The sequence below is a fragment of the Homo sapiens genome, chromosome 8 (assembly GCF_000001405.40).
Source record: "Homo sapiens chromosome 8, GRCh38.p14 Primary Assembly".
Taxonomy (NCBI): Eukaryota; Metazoa; Chordata; class Mammalia; order Primates; family Hominidae; genus Homo; species Homo sapiens.
The window spans coordinates 127316149-127337293 of NC_000008.11; the positions used below are offsets into that span (position 1 = coordinate 127316149).

The 21145-nt window shown below is 41.0% G+C and overlaps 2 long non-coding RNA genes across 2 annotated transcripts in view; one reads left to right on the forward strand and one right to left on the reverse strand.

Annotated features, from left to right (window-relative positions):
• CASC21 (cancer susceptibility 21) overlaps positions 1-21145 on the forward strand; it is a 147995-nt gene that overhangs the window by 71512 nt on the left and 55338 nt on the right. The window contains exon 2 of the long non-coding RNA NR_117099.1: positions 5925-6078. This is a non-coding gene — a long non-coding RNA (cancer susceptibility 21). The remainder of the gene's footprint in view (positions 1-5924; positions 6079-21145) is intronic.
• The window catches only part of CASC8 (cancer susceptibility 8), a 192464-nt gene that overhangs the window by 26473 nt on the left and 144846 nt on the right, over positions 1-21145 (reverse strand). The gene's annotated exons all lie outside the window — the stretch shown is intronic.

A 21145-nucleotide genomic window follows, 5' to 3' on the forward strand; every position in this document is an offset into this window, starting at 1 on the left:
AAGTGAGGAGCGTCTCTGCCTGGCCGCCCATCATCTGAGATGTGGGGAGCGCCTCTGCCCCGCCGCCCCATCTGGGACGTGAGGAGCGCCTCTGCCCGGCCGAGACCCCATCTGGGAGGTGAGGAGCGTCTCTGCCCGGCCGCCCCGTCTGAGAAGTGAGGAGCCCCTCCGCCCGGCAGCTGCCCCGTCTGAGAAGTGACGAGCCTCTCCAACCGGCAGCCACCCCATCTGGGAAGTGAGGAGCGTCTCCGCCCGGCAGCCACCCTGTCCGGGAGGGAGGTGGGGGGGGTCAGCCCCCCGCCTGGCCAGCCGTGCCGTCTGGGAGGAAGGTGGGGGGGTCAGCCCCCTGCCCGGCCAGCCGCCCCGTCCGGGAGGGAGGTGGGGGGGTCAGCCCCCCGCCTGGCCAGCCGTGCCATCCGGGAGGAAGGTGGGGGGTCAGCCCCCCGCCCGGCCAGCCACCCCGTCCGGGAGGGAGGTGGGGGGGTCAGCCCTCCGCCTGGCCAGCTGCCCCGTCTGGGAGGTGAGGGGCGCCTCTGCCCGGCCGCCCCTACTGGGAAGTGAGGAGCCCCTCTGCCCGGCCAGCCGCCCCGTCCAGGAGGGAGGTGGGGGGGTCGGCCCCCCGCCCGGCCAGCCGCCCCGTCCGGGAGGGAAGTGGGGGGGTCGGCCCCCCGCCCGGCCAGCCGCCCCGTCCGGGAGGGAAGTGGGGGGGTCGGCCCCCCGCCCGGCCAGCCGCCCCGTCCGGGAGGGAGGTGGGGGGTTCGGCCCCCCGCCCGGCCAGCCGCCCCGTCCGGGAGGGAGGTGTGGGGGAGTCAGTCCCCCGCCCGGCCAGCCACCCCGTCCGGGAGGTGAGGGGCGCCTCTACCCGGCCGCCCCTACTGGGAAGTGAGGAGCCCCTCTGCCCGGCCAGCTGCCCCGTCCAGGAGGGAGGTGGGGGGGGGTCAGCCCCCCTGCCTGGCCAGCTGCCCCGTCCGGGAGGGAGGTGGGGGGGGGTCAGCCCCCCCGCCCGGCCAGCCGCCCCGTCCGGGAGGTGAGGGGCGCCTCTGCCCGGCCGCTCCTACTGGGAAGTGAGGAGCCCCTCTGCCCGCCAGCCGCCCCGTCCGGGAGGGAGGTTGGGGGGTCAGTCCCCCGCCCGCCAGCCGCCCGTCCGGGAGGTGAGGGGCGCCTCTGCCCAGCCGCCCCTACTGGGAAGTGAGGAGCCCCTCTGCCCGGCCACCACCCCGTCTGGGAGGTGTGCCCAACAGCTCATTGAGAACGGGCCAGGATGACAATGGCGGCTTTGTGGAATAGAAAGGCGGGAAAGGTGGGGAAAAGATTGAGAAATCGGATGGTTGCCGTGTCTGTGTAGAAAGAAGTAGACATGGGAGACTTTTCATTTTGTTCTGCACTAAGAAAAATTCCTCTGCCTTGGGATCCTGTTGATCTGTGACCTTACCCCCAACCCGGTGCTCTCTGAAACATGTGCTGTGTCCACTCAGGGTTAAATGGATTAAGGGCGGTGCAAGATGTGCTTTGTTAAACAGATGCTTGAAGGCAGCATGCTCGTTAAGAGTCATCACCAATCCCTAATCTCAAGTAATCAGGGACACAAACACTGCGGAAGGCCGCAGGGTCCTCTGCCTAGGAAAACCAGAGACCTTTGTTCACTTGTTTATCTGCTGACCTTCCCTCCACTATTGTCCCATGACCCTGCCAAATCCCCCTCTGTGAGAAACACCCAAGAATTATCAATAAAAAAATAAATTTAATAAAAAAAAAAGATTAATACACTCAATGTTATATAAATACGTGTGCTACTTAAATTTTGCACCCTAAGAACTTCACTTGCCTTAACCTAGTTCTGGTCCTGCTCTGCCACCCCTAGCTTAGATTACATAGGAGCACAAAATAGCTTAATTTACCAAGAGTGCATACATTGGGGAAGAAATAGTTCACCAAAAAGAAATTGGAATACAATTGGTGAAAATAGGCTGAATATATGATGTGTGGCCTGAAAAAAAATATCCATTACAAACATGAAGATGGCTGTGATATATTGCCAAATTCCCACAACCTTTTATAGCCCCTGTATCCACATCCTTTGTCATGTAAATTTTCAGCTCCCTCCCTTTGGATCAGGTTTATATGTTTGATGAGCTTTGACCAACAGAATGCAATTGGAATAGAACAATATTGGGAAAATCTTATTTGTTTTAAAACTTCATTCAAAACTAGTCCCATGAAAAGGCAAACTGAGTATTATGTTAGCTGTGGGTTTTTCATATATAGTTTTTACATGGAGGTGGTTTTTTTATTTCTGGTTTGTTGTACATTTTTATCATGAAAGGGTATTACATTTTGTAAAATGCTTTTTTCTGCATCAATTAAGATGATCATGTGGGTTTTCTCCTTCATTCTGTTAATGTTAATGTTAAATAATTAATGTTAATTAATTATGTTAATATTATGTTAATTAATTCTCATATGTTGAACCATCCTTGCATTCTAGGAATAAATTCTACTTGGTCATGGTGTATAATCCTTTAAAAAAAAATAAATAAATTAGGTATTGATGGGACGTATTTCAAAATAATAAGAGCTATCTATGACAGACCCACAGCCAATATCATACTAAATGGGCAAAAACGGGAAGCATTACCTTTGAAAACTGGCACAAGACAGGGATGCCCTCTCTCACCACTCCTATTCAACATAGTGTTGGAAGTTCTGGCCAGGGCAATTAGGCAGGAGAAGGAAATAAAGGGTATTCAATTAGGAAACGAGGAAGTCAAATTGTCCCTGTTTGCAGACGACATGATTGTATATCTAGAAAACCCCATTGTCTCAGCCCAAAATCTCCTTAAGCTGATAAGCAACTTCAGCAAAGTCTCAGGATACAAAATCAATGTACAAAAATCACAAGCATTCTTATACACCAACAACAGACAAACAGAGAGCCAAATCATGAGTGAACTCCCATTCACAATTGCTTCAAAGAGAATAAAATACCTAGGAATCTAACTTACAAGGGATGTGAAGGACTTCTTCAAGGAGAACTACAAACCACTGCTCAAGGAAATAAAAGAGGATAAAACAAATGGAAGAACATTCCATGCTCATGGGTAGGAAGAATCAATATCGTGAAAATGGCCATACTGCCCAAGGTAATTTACAGATTCAATGCCATCCCCATAAAGCTACCAATGATTTTCCTCACAGAATTGGAAAAAACTACTTTAAAGTTCATATGGAACCAAAAAAGAGCCCGCATCGCCAAGTCAATCCTAAGCCAAAAGAACAAAGCTGGAGGCATCACACTACCTGACTTCAAACTATACTACAAGGCTACAGTAACCAAAACAGCATGGTGCTGGTACCAAAACAGAGATATAGATCAATGGAACAGAACAGAGCCATCAGAAATAACGCGGCATATCTACAACTATCTGATCTTTGACAAACCTGAGAAAAACAAGCAATGGGGAAAGGATTCCCTATTTAATAAATGGTGCTGGGAAAACTGGCTAACCATATGTAGAAAGCTGAAACTGGATCCCTTCCTTACACCTTATACAAAAATCAATTCAAGATGGATTAAAGATTTAAACGTTAGACCTAAAACCATAAAAACCCTAGAAGAAAACCTAGGCATTACCATTAAGGACATAGGCGTGGGCAAGGACTTCATGTCCAAAACACCAAAAGCAATGGCAACAAAAGACAAAATTGACAAATGGGATCTAATTAAACTAAAGAGCTTCTGCACAGCAAAAGAAACTACCATCAGAGTGAACAGGCAACCTACAAAATGGGAGAAAATTTTCACAACCTACTCATCTGACAAAGGGCTAATATCCAGAATCTACAATGAACTCAAACAAATTTACAAGAAAAAAACAAACAACTCCATCAAAAAGTGGGCGAAGGACATGAACAGACACTTCTCAAAAGAAGACATTTATGCAGCCAAAAAACATGAAAAAATGCTTATCATCACTGGCCATCAGAGAAATGCAAATCAAAACCACAATGAGATACCATCTCACACCAGTTAGAATGGCAATCATTAAAAAGTGAGGAAACAACAGGTGCTGGAGAGGATGTGGAGAAATAGGAACACTTTTACACTGTTGGTGGGACTGTAAACTAATTCAACCATTGTGGAAGTCAGTGTGGCGATTCCTCAGGGATCTAGAACTAGAAATACCATTTGACCCAGCCATCCCATTACTGGGTATATACCCAAAGGACTATAAATCATGCTGCTATAAAGACACATGCACACGTATGTTTATTGCGGCATTATTCACAATAGCAAAGACTTGGAACCAACCCAAATGTCCAACAATGATAGACTGGATTAAGAAAATGTGGCACATATACACCATGGAATACTATGCAGCCATAAAAAATGATGAGTTCATGTCCTTTGTAGGGACATGGATGAAATTGGAAATCATCATTCTCAGTAAACTATCGCAAGAACAAAAAACCAAACACTGCATATTCTCACTCATAGGTGGGAACTGAACAATGAGATCACATGGACACATGAAGGGGAATATCACACTCTGGGGACTGTTGTGGGGTGGGGGGAGGGGGGAGGGATAGCATTGGGAGATATACCTAATGCTAGATGATGAGTTAGTGGGTGCAGCACAGCAGCATGGCACATGTATACATATGTAACTAACCTGCACAATGTGCACATGTACCCTAAAACTTAAAGTATAATAAAAAAAAAAGAAAAAAAAAAGAAAAATGCCTTCAGGAAGAGCCAGGACATGAACACATGTTTTCTTAGGATAGACGCCACAAGTAACCATATAAGCTGTTGATGATAATTCAACTAATGTTTTAAAAATTGGTAAAGGCTGAGTATGGGTTAAGATAAGATTATGGAATCCCTGCAAGCCACAGAGAAATGGGAGTTCACACTATTCACTGGCTCTTCTCAATAGACTACAAATTTCATCAGGTGTTCACAAGAATGATTGGAGGCAGGGTGAGAATCCAAGAAAAATTTACTCATGGCTCATATTTCAAAGAGAAAAATAGCAGCCTGTGTAGCATTGGAATAAAGCCATAGATTCTTCACCCTACCTCTTCTATAGCGCACATAGCTTAAGCTTGTAAGAAAAAGACAATAAACAATGTTGGCCTTGGGACAGTGGTGAAGATCCACTGCATCTGGAGAGAAGAAATAAACATAGACTCTCTATCTCTGAAAGAAAGGCAACAATACATGCTAAGCTCAGATAAACAGCTCTCTTGCAGTTTAGGAAAGGGCAGTATCATGGAGAAGGCACCACTATCAGGGTATTCAGGAACACAATGCCTATCTGAAACTGAGCCTCAATCCAAACAACAGAAAACACTCTGCTCCTCTCCTCAGTCAGCAGCAGGTTCTTGCTATGAGAGGACAAGAGCATGTGAAAAAATCATCTTATAGCATCAGAGAAAAGAAAAGACCTAAACCTGATAGTGGAGCAAATCCTGAGGAACATCATCTTGCACATGAGTCTCCAGTCTAAACACAAGTTACCTCTAGAACTTAAATCTTATTGTGCAGGAAAGGTAAGTTATATAGTTTGGATATTTCTCCCCTCTAAATATCTTTTGGAAATGTAATCCCCAGTGTTGGAGGTGAGGCATGTAGGAGATGTTTGAATCATGAGGACGGATCCCTCATACATGGCTTAGCACTGTCCCCTTGGTGATGAGTGAGTTCACACAAGATCTGGTTGTTTAAAAGGGTGTGGCACCTCCTCCCTCTCTCTCTTGGTCCTGCTCTTGTCATGTGACATGCTGGCTCCCTGTCACCTTCTGCCATAACTGTAAGCTCCCTGAGGCTTCACCAGAAGCAGATGTCAGCATCATGCTTTCTGTAAAGCCTGAAGAATCATGAGTCAATTAAACATTTTTTTTCTTTTTTTTTTTTGAGACAGAGTCTCACTTGGTTGCTCAGACTGGAGTACAGTGGTACGATCTCGACTCACTGAAACCTCTGCTTCCTGGCTTCAAGCATTTCTCCTGCCTCAGCCTCCTGAGTAGCTGAGATTACAGGCGCCCACCACCAAAAAAAAAATAACCCAGCCTCAGGTATTCTTTACAGTAATGTAAGAATGGTCTAATACAGAAAATTGGTACTGAGGAGTGGGGCATTGCTATAAAGATACCTGAAAATGTAGGACCAACTTTGGAACTGGGTAATAGGACTGAGATAAGAAGAGTTTGAAGAATGCAGAAGAAAGTAGGAAGATGAGGAAATGTTTGAAACTTCTTAGAGGCTAGTTAAATGATTGAGACCAAAATGCTGAAAGTGATATGGACAGTGAGGTCCAGGCTGATGAGGTCTCAGATGGAAATGAGGAACTTATTGAGAACTGGGGGAAAGGTCACCCTTGTTATGCCTTAGCAAAGAATTTGGCTGCATTGTGTTTATGCTGTAGAGATATTTGGAAGCCTGAACTTAAGAGTGATGACTTAGGATATGTGGGAGAAGAAATTTCTAAGCAGCAAAACATTTAAGATGTGACCCGACTGCTTCTAACAGCTTATACTCAGATGCAGGAGCAAAAAAAAATGACTTAAAGGTGGGATTTATATTTAAAAAGAAAGCCAAGTATAAAACTTTGGAAAATATGTAGCTTTGCAATGTAGTAGAAAAGGAAAGCTCATTTTCAGGGGAAGAATCTAAGCAGGCGGCAGAGTGCCCACTTGCTGGAGAGATCAGCATGATTAAAAGGGAGCCAAATGCTAATAGCCAAGACAATAAGGAAAGGCCTGAAAGGCATTTTGGAGATCTTCAAGGCAACCCCTCTCATCACAGGCTCAGAGACCAAGGAGGAAAGAATGATTTCATGGGCCAGACCCAGGTCCCCACTGACCTGCACAGCCTTAGGACACTGCTCTCTGCATCCAGGCCACTCCAGTTCCAGCCTCACTCAAAAGGCCCCAGGTACAGTTCAGGTCACAGCTCTGGAAAGCACATTCTGTAAGCCTTGGTGGCTTCCATGTTGTATTAAACCTGCAGGTATTTAGCACACAAAAGTAAAAGAGGCTTGGCAACTTCTACCTAGATTTCAGAGGATACATGAGAAAGCATGGGTGGCCAGGCAGAAGCCTGTACAGGAGCAGAGCCCCCACAGAGAGCCTCTGCTAGGGTAGTGCCAAGGAAAGATGTGGGATTGGAGCCTCCACACAAGTCCTCACTGAGACAACTGCTTAGTGAAGCTGTGGGAATGGGGCCTCTACCTTACAGCCCCTAAAATGGTAGATACACTAGCAGCTTACATCCTGAGCCTGGAAAAGCCACAGGCATTCAACTACAACCCATGAAAGCAGCAACACGGGCTTCGCCCAGGGAAGCCACAGGAGTGGGGCTGCCCAAGGCCTTAGGAGCCCACCCCTCATTCAGGGCAAAGAATCAAAGGCGATTATCTTGAAACTTTAAGATTTAATGACAGCCCTGCTGGATTTCAGACTTGTGTGGAGCCTGTAGCCCCTTTATTTCGGCCAATTTGACTCCCTTTTAAAATGGAAATGTTTAATCAGTGCCTGTATCTCCATTGTATCTTGGAAGTAAATAATTTATTTTGATTTTACAGGCTCATAGGTGGAAGGATATGTCTCAGATGAGACTTAGGACTTGATGTTGGAAAGAGCTAAGACTTTGGGGGACCTTGGGAAAAGATGATTGTATTTTGCCATGTGAGAAGTACATGAGATTTGGGGGCCAGAGGGAGAATGATATGGTTTGGATGTTTGTCCCCTCCAAATCTAATGTTGAAATCTAATCCTCAGTTTTGGAGGTGGAATCTGGTGGGAGGTTCCTGAATCATCATGGGAGCAGATCCCTCATGAATGGCTTAGTGCCATTCCCTTCATAATGAGTGAGTTCACATGAGATCTGGTTGTTTAAAAGAGTGTGGTATCGCCCTCCACTCTTTCTCTTGCTCACTCTCACTATGTGACATATTGGCTGCCTGTCATCATCTGCCATAATTGTATGCTTCCTGTGACCTCACCAGAAACAGACACCAGCAAGTTGCTTCCTATAAAACCTGCAGAACAGTGAGCCAATTAAACTTCTTTTTATAAAATAAATTCCCCAACCTCAGGTATTTCTTTACAGCAATGCAAGAATGGCCAAATACCATAAGCATATCAGTAATAAATCCCAAACTGAGCTTAATTTCTGACTTAAATGACTCAAACCAAAGACTATCTTCCCCCAAAATCCTGGCAAAATTCACAGTATACCCAATTGATTCATAAAAATTACATATATCAGTCTTGTCATATAAAAATATTATGAGGTATACAAAAAATAAGACACAAAGAAATAAAACATATTGTCAAGGGACAACGCGATCAATGGAACCAGACTCAGAAATGAAATAGATGTTGAAAACGTCAGGGAATTTAAAACAGCTGATTAAGATATTAAAGACTCTAGTGAAAAAGATACATAAATTGCATGATCAGGTGAATTAGCAGAGAGATCAAAATTTTAAGAAAGAATTAATTGCAAATGTTAGAAATGAATAAAACTGTAACAGAGATGAAGCATGCCTTTGATGGGCTCATCACTAGATTTGATGCAACTGAAAAAAAAATTAGAGAACTTGAAGGTAGGTAATTAGAAATTATACAATCTGAAATACAACATGCAAACAGCAAGAGTAGTGGAAAAAATAATAGGTCATCCAAGAGCTATTCAAAATATCAAACTATTTAACATTCAGTACATGTCTTTGGAATTCCAGAGAAGAGACAGAATAGGACAAAAGAAATCTTTGAAGAGATAATGGCTGAAAATTTTCTAAAATTAATGAAAGACATTAAATCACATATCCAGAAAGCCCAGAGAATATGAAACAGGATAAACACACACACATACGCGCGCACACACACACACACACACACACACACCACTATATATATTATATTTGAACTGCTGTAGAACAAAGGCAGAAATAAAATCTTTAAGGCAGCAAAGCTAAAAAAAAAAGACATATTATGTCAATAAAAACAAAGACTTTTGTCAGAAGCTATACAAGCCAGAAGATAATGGAGTAACATCTTTAAAGTCTCGAGAGGAAGAAAAAAAATACTGTAAAGTAAAAATTCTATCCATGGTGAAAAGAAAAATTTTCTAATGAAGGAATCATAAAACATTTTTAGTCAAACAAGAACTGACAGAATTTATTGCCAGCATGCCTGCAGCACAAAGGAAGTTCTCTGGGCAGAAGGAATTAACCAGACAGAAATTTGGGTCTATGAAAAGAAATGGAAACTCCTAAAAATGGCATATCAAAAAGTACATATAAAACCTTTAAAAATTATTTTTAATTATTCAAAAAGGTTATTCAAAAATCTACAGTAAAATAATAGCAATATGTATATTCTTTGTATAGCATGTATAAAAGTAAAATGACTGACAGTAGCACAAATGTTGGGAGGAAGGGAGCGGGAGTCACTCTCGTTTAAGGTACTTAAACTACACCTGAAGTGGTATCATTTTATTTCTTTTTCTTTTTATTTGAAACAGAATCTCATCTGTTGCTCACTCGGAGAGTGCAGTGGCATGATCATAGCTCACTGCAGCCTTGAACTCCTAGGCTCAAGTAATCCTCCCACCTCAGCCTCCCAAGTAGCTGGGACTGGAGGCATGTGCCACCACACCTGGCTAATTTTTATTTAGTTAGTTACTTTTAGAGATGAGTTCTCATTGTGTTGCACAGGCTGGTCTGAAATTGCTGGCCTCAAAAAATCCTCCTATTTCAGCCTCCCAAAGAGCTGGGATTATAGATGTGAGCCAGCCCTGTTCGTATTTGAAGATATAGATGTTGATTAGCCAAAGATGCATACTATAAACCCTACGGCTACCACTGAAAGCATTTTTAAAAAGAGATATAAGTACATAATCCAAAGTGGAGATACCATGGGATTCTTAATACTCAATTTGAAAGAAAGTGGAAAGTAAGAAAAAAATAAAGATGGAGCAAATAGAAAATAGCTAGCAAAATAGCAGATATTAATCAAAGTATATCATATAATTAGAGTAACCATAATCAAAACACACATAGGTGTATTAAAAGATGGAGATTATCAGACTGGATAAAAAAGCAAGATGCAATGTTATGTTTTCCATGTCTTCAGATAGAAAGACATACTAAGGTTTAAAGTAGAAGCATGAGAAAAGATATAACATTCACAGACTAATTTTAAAAATTTAAGTAACAATACTGCATCAGACTAAGTAGGCTTCGAAATAGAGAACATTGCCAGGGATAAAGAGGGGAATTACATAAAGGGGTTTCTTCCCCAAGAAGACATAACAATCCTAAATGTTTAATCACCTAACAATAGAGCTTTCAAATATGTGAAATAAAAACTGATAGAACTGAAAGGAGAAATAGACAAATCTACAACTAAAGTTGAAGTCCTCAACACTTGTCTCTCAGTAATTGATAGAACAAATATTAAGAAAGTCAATAAACATACAGAAAAGCTAAACAACACCATCAGCAAAGTTGACCCAATCGACCCTTACAGAGCAATCCACCCAGCAACAGTAGAATACACATTCTTTTCAATGTGCATGGCAAATTTACCAAGACAGACCAAATTCTAGGCCATCAAAAGATTTTATTTGCTTTTGAAATACGTGCTTACAGGCAGATCAAGTTTGGATTATAAAGCAAAGATCTATCTAATATATAGATATATCAGAAACTAAAATAAGCCATATCACTGTGTAATTAATTCCCCACCAGCAGACACATTAGAGGAAGCTTTGATGACTACACCCAGATATTATAAGTAGGAGAGTGACTTTTCTGACTTTTAGTACTATAAAACCATTATTCAAATTAAACCATATAGAGAAGACTAAAATATAAAACAGATACAAGGAGAACCACTGTAAGTGTGAGTCTAATTGATGTACCCTCAGACTCTACAGTGGGCCTGAGATATACCACAAGTTATCTAAGACTCTACTTACCATGACTTTAAACTACCAGAAGAGAGAATTTAGGTAGGTTGTGTCTATTAATATACCTTTATCTGAAATTTTCTTCAGTCATCATTCTCCATACCTCTAGCTGACTGTGTCCTCACTCTCCTAAATCCTCTATAGTCTTTGTTCTGTAAACCAGCTTCACTCTAGATAATAAGATAGGTCCTTGAATAAGTGTGCCTGTGTTCAATTTTCTCTATATAGTTTTCATAGTTGATAATGCTAAGAAAATTCCATAACTTTTCAGTCTTTGTTACTTGACATGAAAAGTGGGGATACCAACAACATCTATCACAAGAGATTTTCTTTCAGTGAAGTTTTTGTAAGTTTTTTAATTCAAATGAAGCATTGAGTTAATGCATATGAAACAGTTAGAATAGTGTCTGACATATAGCAAAAGTTTAATAAATATTAGTCATTATTTTTATCAGTCATCAGCAGCTTTTTGGTGTGCAAATAGAAAGAGCTTTGAAAATGGATAGATATGGGTTCAAGTTCAGCACTGCCAATTAATAGCTCTGTGAGCACAGGCAATTTACCTCCAAATTTTTACTTTAATGTCCTCATTATTTGTTCCAAACCCATTGATTGAGCTCCTGCCATGAGCTTGCTACTCTTCCTTGTTCCTTTTGTACAAAATTTGGGTAAAGAGGATTCAAGGAGCTAAAGGATGCAAGTAAATTACTTGGGAGTGAATTGGAGGGTGCCGAAAAAATTAGTATTGCCTAGGTCATCTCTAGGTCCTAGGTCTAAGATATAAAACTATCCATTGAGAATGCAATATTTTATATGTTCCTCTATCCCTTGAGCTTATAAGACAACCTGAGACATAATTCGTGTCAATAACTGCTTGCTGATAAAAATGTAATTGCCATCCAAATTGTGGTAATAGAGCATGTGGGAATATGATGTTCTTTGTGGGACCCAATGAACTATGGGCCCATCTATTCATAGTATAGTCAGAAATAGGACTCTAATACATATTGCAGTTCTTCACATCTCAAGACCTAGCATAAAATCTGTATTTTTATATTTATTACCATTCATTCATTTGGATATGTACTTGCTAGAAAGAAAGTTGAAGAAGGTGCAAAAAAAGTATGAGGGAAAACCTCCAAATTGAAAAAATATATTTTTTAAATTTGTTTATTCTCTCTTCTGTAAACTTGGAACAGATCATGATGATGAAGTATAGCCAAAGACAACCCCAAGTAAATTTTTAAATAAGCTACTGTGCAGAGATGAAGTTTGAGAGTCACCATTGGACCTAAATTCAGCAGCTTCTAGCATTTGATTGACAACAATGAATGTTTCCCATATGTGATATCACATAGTTAAGCCCCCACCTCCCCGCAAAAGATTATGTGTGCTGTCGCACTCTTCTTTTTTAAAAATAAATATTTCTTACCCTCGAGGCCTCTCCAGACTTCCTATTTTGGGCAGTTTACACCACTTGACCCTTTCTGATTATTCTTGTCCCTCAACAGCAGACTTAAGATACAAACCTCCCTCTCTCATTATACTCCTCCTCTTTCAATCCTTATGAATGTGCCATTTACAATATTACCTTGAGTTAGGTGGATATCTCTTTGCATCTCTTATCCTAACTGCATTATGTGTGAAACTTGTTGAGACTTTAAGAATGCATTTTTAATAGGATAATAGTCTTTCCTAGTCATCCTGAGTACTCAGCATTCCCCAAAAGTGCCATGTGCTCACTCTCATATCTGGGCAGCTCTGAACATGCTCTTCTTTCTACTCATCATTCTCTATTTTATCTGCCCTGGCTAGTGAACGCTTCACATCCCTCACAACTTGGTTCAAGCATCTGTTTTCTGCAACGACTTTATATCTTAATATGTCAGTGACAGCGCTGGACTGCTTTGTCAACAGTCGCTGTGGTAGGCAGAATAATGCTCCTCCAAAGTCATCCAGGTCCAAATTCCAAGAACCTGTGAATGTGTCAGCTTACATGGCAAAACGGATTTTACAGATATGATTATATTAGGGATCATGAAATAGGGGGATTTTTCTGGATTATTAAGATGGGCCAAATGTAATCAGAAGGGCCTTATAAAGCAAAGAAGTAGGCGAGAGAGAGTCAGAAATGATGGAAGCAGAGTTAGAGTAATGTACTTTGAAGATGGAGGCAGGTGCCACACCATGAGCAGGAATGTTGCAGTCTCTGGAAGCTGAAAAAGGCAAGGAAACAGATTCTCCCTAGAGCCTCCAAAAGGAAAACAACTCTGCCAGCAGCCTGAGTTTAGCCCAGCAACATCAGTCATCTGACCTCCAGAACTAAGACCATAAATATGTCTTGGCTTAAACCAAATTTTTCATAACTTGTTACAGCAGCATTAAAAAAACCCAAAATGGCCGGGCACGGTGGCTCACACCTGTAATCCCATCACTTGGGGAGGCTGAGGCAGGTGGACCATGAGGTCAGGAGTTTGAGACCAGCCTGGCCAAGATGGTGAAACCCTGTCTTACTAAAAAAAGAAAAATTAGCCAGGCGTGGTGGTGTGTGCCTGTAGTCCCAGCTACTCGGGAGGCTGAGGCAGAAGAATTGCTTGAACCCGGGAGGTGGAGGTTGCAGTGAGCCGAGATTGTGCCACTGCACTCCAGCCTGGGCGACAGAGCGAGACTCCATCTCAAAAAACAAACAAACAAAACAAACAAACAAACAAAAAAACCCAAAAGAACCTTAAAAAAAAACCCCCGATTGTTTTAGGGAATGAAGACCATTCTTGTGTGGTCTTTTTATCTAGTTAAATGCCTATTTTCCTTAACTATTAGTACAGGGTAAAATAAGGGCGGCTTAGCAAATTAATTATGATTAACAAATAAATACAGGGATAATTCACTGGACAATTGTTAGAAGAATAATTAGAAGTTGGATGGAACAGTGGACGGTGCTACAGACTCAGGGTCAGAAACATGAATTACAATTTTAGCTCTGCCACCTGCATGGAGATGAATCATTTCACCTTTGAATCTAAGCTTCTTTACCTACAAAAAGAAATCAAGATATTCTTTGGTCTCTGAGGTACCTTCCAGCCACAAGACTATGTGACCATATGCCAGGGAATTTTTGGAAGACATGCCTGAACCGGGTCAGGGGTTGGACTGATGACCTCAGAGGTCTCTTCCAACTCAAAGATTCAATGACACAGACACAGCAGGATGCATCTTGTGTAGAAAGTATTTCTAAGACAACTGATTTTTCTGAGTCTCCTGGGAGGAGGGGAAGTCCTCTGGGAGCAAACAAAGGCACCAGTAGCTTTGGGTCAAGCCCTGCTTCAGATTCGGGCCAAAGACAACAAGAATGCCACAAAGAACATCAAAGGGCAGAATCTGGCCCTGAAACAAGAAGAGGGATGGAGGGGAAGTCATGATCTGCAGTAAAACAAATAAATAACCTGTAAAATCACATCTGCAGACGCTCTAACGTTCTTAAATGCTTTCCAATAAGCTTTGCTGGTAGCATGCCACAAAGCCTGTCCAAGAGGATTTACAACAGATGGAGGCAGGGAATACTGACCTAGGCCTGATTCTGCTACTAACCAATTGGGTGACCTTGGGATCATCATTTCACTTCACTGGGCTGTAAGTTTCTTATTTCAAAGTAAGAGGACTAAATTAGATGACTTCTGACCTCCCCTCTAGCCTCAAAATCTTACTACCTTCCAGCCCAAGCAGTAATCATGGATTCTCAAAAGCACAATGGTTAGTTTGGTATTAAACAAGCAGTCATTTGCAGGAAAGGAAGGAAGGGAGGGAGAAATGGAGGGGAGGGCTATAGGATTTTTTTTTTCCTTCTTAAACAATTTCCTTATTGTTTCCTCCTGTTTATGCAAATGCTCAAAATTAGCAATGACCACTATCCTTTCAAATGACCCTGCTCTAGATAAAGTTGTATAGATCAGGCTTTGAGCTGCTGCTGTCTGTCTGTTCTTAGGCAAACTTCAGGCGCCGGCCTCCCAAGCATGAAACCCCAATCCCAAGATAATGCGTGGAATACTTAATCCTCCTTTGTCCTTGGCTTTCCAGTGTGGGAATCCAGCAAGATGGAGCACCGAGCCATCTCCTAGATTTCCCATTTTAGGACAGGTCTTGGAATAGTTTATGATGTAACTGTTTCTACCGCATTTACTTCAGACCGTCTCCTATCTAAGCCAAGATTGTTAGAGCAAGAACTTTTAGTTTTTTGAGAAAGGCCCAAAAACAAAAATTAAAATAGGAGATGGTTTATATTTGCCAGATGTTAAAAGGTGTTCTAAGTTTGAACTTCAATAAGTTTATAATTTTACCACGCCCAATCCTCCAGCGGCTCCCCAGATACCATATAAACACAAAGCCAACTGTGCCCATGGGATCATTTTTAGTTCCTAGACACCAGGATATAGTTACCAGGGAAGAATGGAGGAGAATTGTAAGGATAATAAAGTTTGTTCCAAGAGCTAATTGTAAGTAATTCCATGTATTTGTAGAATGCTTTAAAGCAGAGTTTCCCCAAATATGGTATATATACATGTACTATTATACAATATGCAAAATAATTTTAGGTGGGATATATTGACTATTTCACCCAAGACTTATATCTTGACTTTTCTTATCCCTTGCTGATGGGCATTCCTGCTCTCAGAGTGTAATCCCAGGAAGAAATGCTATAAAACTTAAAATGAGGAAGACACATATTCCATTACCATGTTTCCTGAAAGATCTGTCACTTCCAAATTGCTGGCTTACTCCGCTGCAGTAACACCATGACTCCATCTACATGGCAGTTTCCATTTCCTAAATCCTATTAATCATCCCTAACTTTCCAAGCATCCCCTCATCCCCAAAGCAGCTTTATATCTCTTCAAGCTCTCCCAATTTTTCAGCTTTGACCCTTATGTGATGTCCTTAAACTAAATGTTTCTCGAAACCCCTGGCTCTAGTTTTTCAGTCACGGCCTCTTTCTAGCTTCAGTGCCCCACCCTACCATTCAATCAAAAGCCGCCATCCCGTTCTACTCCAACCTTCCTTCTCAGATTGCAGTTCACTTCTTTCAGTGAGTCAACCTGCTGCCTTGGATCTTCCTCTCCCTTACTCATTCCACTCATTTCATGCCAATGTCTTGAGCCAACACAATGAAAAACTGGTCCCCAAGCCCAAGATCCATTCCTGTCTGCTCTTCCTGAACACATTCATGAGCAATGCTTTCTCTCTTAGGCCATGATCGTTTCTATAGTTTGCTCCTGTGTTTTTTTTTTCTTTCCATTAATTTCCCTTTATAAATAAATGTATTTAAGCAAAAAAGAAGTAAAATGACTTAATAAAAGTATATTTACTAAATACTAAATAACAGTGAAAGTGATACGTGGATGTGGTCAAAATTTGGATGACTAAATGAATGACAGCTTAATGAAGACTGTCGTAGAATTACAGAATATTCTCTTTGTTTTTAAAATCTGTTTTTGGCTATCCTGTAACGGCAAGAAGGATGGGAATAATTAATCCACTGTTCAGACAAGAAAGCTAAAACTCAGAGTTTGTATGAATTTCTAATACCATGCAGCAAGCAGCTGGTAGATGCAGGACTAAAATGAGAGCCTGCTGACTCCAAATCCAGTGACACTCTCCACGCACATGTCCTTAAATACAATTTCTTCTTAGTTGAAGATATAGATGCCAGGCATAGACTCCAGGAAAGGGTACCTCCCGGGAGTAAATATGCATAAAATATATATAAATATTCATCTCAGATAGTTTGAACATGTGTCAAATTAATAAGCAGTATGATCTATAGCCAAGGAAAAGATAGCAAATCACTGAAATGTAAATAAGGTTCCATTAAAGAATGTGGCAGAAATATGGAACACAAACGTAACTCCAGGAAAATAAGACTCCTACAAATTCAAATAGTAGATGTTTAAAAGGATATGTTGCCAAAAGATAAAAAATGCAGTTCCTGAATAAAGTCAAAAGAACCCAGGTTAAATCCCAGCCCCTTCGCCTACCTGCTGAGTGATGCTGGCAATAGGCCTAATATCTGTGTTTCTTTACCTTTAAGAAAGTGACAATAACAGTATCTAGCTCCTAGAGCTGCAGTGAGGATTGAGTGAGATAATTCTCTTAAGAATAGTAGCACAGAAAATGCCCAGTTAGACATGGCGGCTTGAATCTATGCTTTTACTCCGTTCTTTTATGCAAACCAATAAAATGATTGTAAAGGAATGAAGAAATGATATAAACTTACAAGAACAAAGAGGATTGGAAAGGTAATGACATCAGTTGTGAGATGTCAACTAAATTGTTAACTATGGGAAACAAAAGGATAGAGGTAGCCAACTGATGAGAGCAGAGCAAGCTGAAAACTAAGTCCATATTAGGGATGTCAAAATCTAGTTAACATCAGAAGACCCAGAAAAGATAATGGCTCATTGGCATCCAGTGTATTTGAAAGGGGAGAAAAATGAGAGGGTTGATTGACAATATGTGTAAGGAAGAGTTAGAACCACAGATTCACTGTCTAGTCCTAATAGCCAAATAACTCCTTCCCCAACACTTACTATCTACAGAGGCTCTATTACAGAAGACCAGAGAACATGGAGACACTAGGACTATCTGAGGGTGGATACAAGAAGATATATCAAAAATGTAATTTTAATTACATTTTTGTAATGTAAAATTAAGTCAAAATATACATTTTGAAAAGTTCTATTTATGATTTTTCCCTGACACTGTCATTCAGGTCTCTATTCTCCAACTGTGACACTGGAGAATTCTTCTCCATGGAGACTATCCGTCTCAGGAGGAAAACAAACATGCAGATACTATCACAATAAAATGGCAGATCCTCTTCTCATCACTCTATGGTGAGGTCAACCAGTTGACAGCCTCAGTCACATACACAGCACCTCTAATTAACTTTCCAGTGCTCCATTCTAGTTATTAGTGGAGTGCCAAAAATCGTAAAATAATTGAGGAAAATCTTGAATATATAAAACAGAGAACAAGGTAAGCATTTACAAAATAAAAATATCCTTGGAATTGTTGTGAAAGCAAATATTAAAGTGTCAAGAAAAAGGGAGGATAATTGGAATACTGCGTTGAAGAACTCTTCAGAAATTTGAAAAAATAAAAGTTGATGAGATAGACAATACTGGAGAAAGGTAAGAAAATTAGACAATCCTCTGGGGGTCTAATATCTAACAAATATTAGTTCCAGGAAAAAAAAATGACAGATTAGATGGGAGGAAATTATCTAGGAATTTTTAAAAAATATGCACAGAACCAACATATATGGGTTTCTAGACTAAAGGGATTTAACAAGTTTCCTACGTCATGAAAGAAGAAAGATCCACATCATGGGGCATCATGACAAAATTTAAAACTCCAAGAATAAAAAGATACTAAGCGATGCAATAGAATAAAAAATTGCCTTTAAAGCATGAAAGGTTACAATGACATTGGGCTTAATAGCAACATCAAAAACTAGAAGACAATGGAATAATATTTTCAAACACCTGAGCAAAAATGGTTTCCAACCTAGAATCCTATACCCTTAGTCCAATGTGTGAGGAGATAACAAAGACATTTTTAGACACTCAAGTTTCCCAAAACTGTTGTCTATCAGACAGCCTTACTCAGAAAGCTGTTGGGAATCATATACCATCAAAGTAAGTCAGCTGGGAAAGAGATCTAGAAAACAGGAGATTTTTCCCTAGGGGTACTGACAGTTCACTGCTATTGCTAACCTTTGGGGTACTGAACACTCCCATGTGTATGTCTCCAAACCTTTGCATAGAGTCCATTTATAAAACTCTCCTCTGTTACCCAGTGTAAGTTTTGTATCTGTCTGCTGCATGACTGATATATACTTGATATGCATAATAAATGCATATTTAACAAAGTCTAACACAACTAAGCAGATTGGGGGATTGTCAATGAGTTCAGTTTTTCATGATCCCCATTGCTTTGGAGAGACTTGCTCGAACAGGAAGTATTCTGCCAGTCCATAGGGAAGGCCTTCCAGGTGCCAGAAAGCCCCAGAGAGATTCTCTCATGCTCCTAACTACCCAGAAACTCCATGTAGGCAATTATTCTGTACTTGTGTTTTATTGCTCTAAGACAGACTCACACAAAGTTAGCAGTTTAAAATTACACCTATTTGTTAGTTTACAGTTTACATGAGTCAGCAGTCTGAGCATGGCCTAGCTAGGCTCTGTGTTTAGGGACTCACAAGCTCGAAATCATAATGTTTACCAAACTCAAGCTCATCTCATCTGGAACGAGGGATCCTCTCCCCAGCTCATTTAGTTTGTTGGCAGAACTCAGTTCCTTGTTGCTGTAGGACAGAGGCTCCCATTTCCTTGCTGGCTGCCATCTGAAGCTGCCATTCTTGGCCACTAAAATACACTCTATTTGTTGCCACATGGCTCCCTCTGTCTTAGCCAGCAGTGGAGAGTCTCTATCATGTTGAATATCTCTTATGCTTTGAGTCTCTGACTTCATTTGTCTCTAATCTGTAGATCCAGATTTAAAGAGCTCATGTAATTGGGTCAGGCCCACCTGCATAATCTCCCTTTCAGTGCACTCAACTGATTAGGGCCCCCAATTACCTCTATAAAATCCCTTTTGCCACATATCATCATATTAACAGGTCATTTCACACTTAACAGGAGGGGATAATAAAAGGGTATAGGTTATTAGCAGTTGTCTTCAAATCCTGCCTACTGTACATTGCCTTTAGCAAGCCATGTTGCCTGGCTCCAACACCCAGGATCTAGGTGCCATACTGCCAGTGCCATCTTGCTGCATTGTGTAGAGGTTACTGAATTGGCCAGGACATGCGTGGAGTCACATTGCAACTAAGTGGATGATGATGACTGGGCTGTGGGCATGGGCAATGGTTGAAGGCCTGAGAAGGCCTAGACAGAGTAGGACAGAACATAGCCACTTTTTTCTTTATGGAGAACTTAGAGCAATAGTTTTCATGCATAGCCCCCCTCCCTAAGACAAACTTACATAGTACCCATGATGATTCCCACCTCACAAATGAGAAAACTGAGGCTCTACAGGATTGGGCCAATGTCCAAAGTTACCCAGAAAGAATTGGTAAGCTAGGATTCAAGTGAAGATATGTAACATTCCAAAGCCCTGGCTCTCAGTGACTAAGGTCTAAGACCACCCAGATAGTTTTGTGTTATAAATCCTACCTTCCCTTCAACAGTCCTTCATTGCCATTTGCCTGAACTTGAGCTACTTGACTGAACTTTTCCTTAGGATGAGTTCTTTCCCAGAAATGTCTAATGAATACTATTTCATGCAAATTGATCTCAGGTCCTCCAAAGATGATTGGAGAGTTGTGGATCTTTACACAGGGACACTGCTCAGCAAAGAGGCTATCATCACTTAAGACTGTCATTCATGCTCATCAGCGTGACCACACATTGAAATTAGTGTAATTTTAGCTAATACTAAAGAACCTTGAAATTTAATTAGTATGTGCAACCTAATCATTGATAAATGTGTTGGACTTTTGAAATATTTAAAATAGCTCAAATCTCCTATTATTACTTTGACAGACATTTAAGAACCAAAATAATCCATGATAAGGAACAATGCTCTATTTAAAGCTAATCGTTTTAAATTTGCAATTGTCCCAATAGAAAACTTTGCTTAGAATTGAACTCCACATCCCAATCCTAGAATAAAGAACCTAATGTATTCTGTAAAATTACCACAAGGCTCAAGATTCACAATAAAATTATATTGAGCAAATTGTGAGTGTGTGCAGCATTGAATCAAGTAGATGAATGATAAACTTCTTACTAAATTAATCAATAAGTGGGCCCCTCTTTAAAACTCTGAGAAAATACGAGATTGACTGGGTTTTCCATCTCATCATGTCAGTTCTATCATAAGACTTTTTATTATGTTTTATTTTTACTGAATAAAATTTCATACCCTTAGTAAGGACAGAAGGATGCTTGTGGCTTGGTTTCTACCTAGTTCTCCAGTTTTGTCTCCTGTATTTCCTTTTTTCCTTATTCAATGAACCAATATTGATTAACTGCCTAGTGGGCTAGAGATATAAAGACAAGCAAGACAGTCACCTGAGTGTTCCTCTTAGCTGTGCCTTTCTTGATA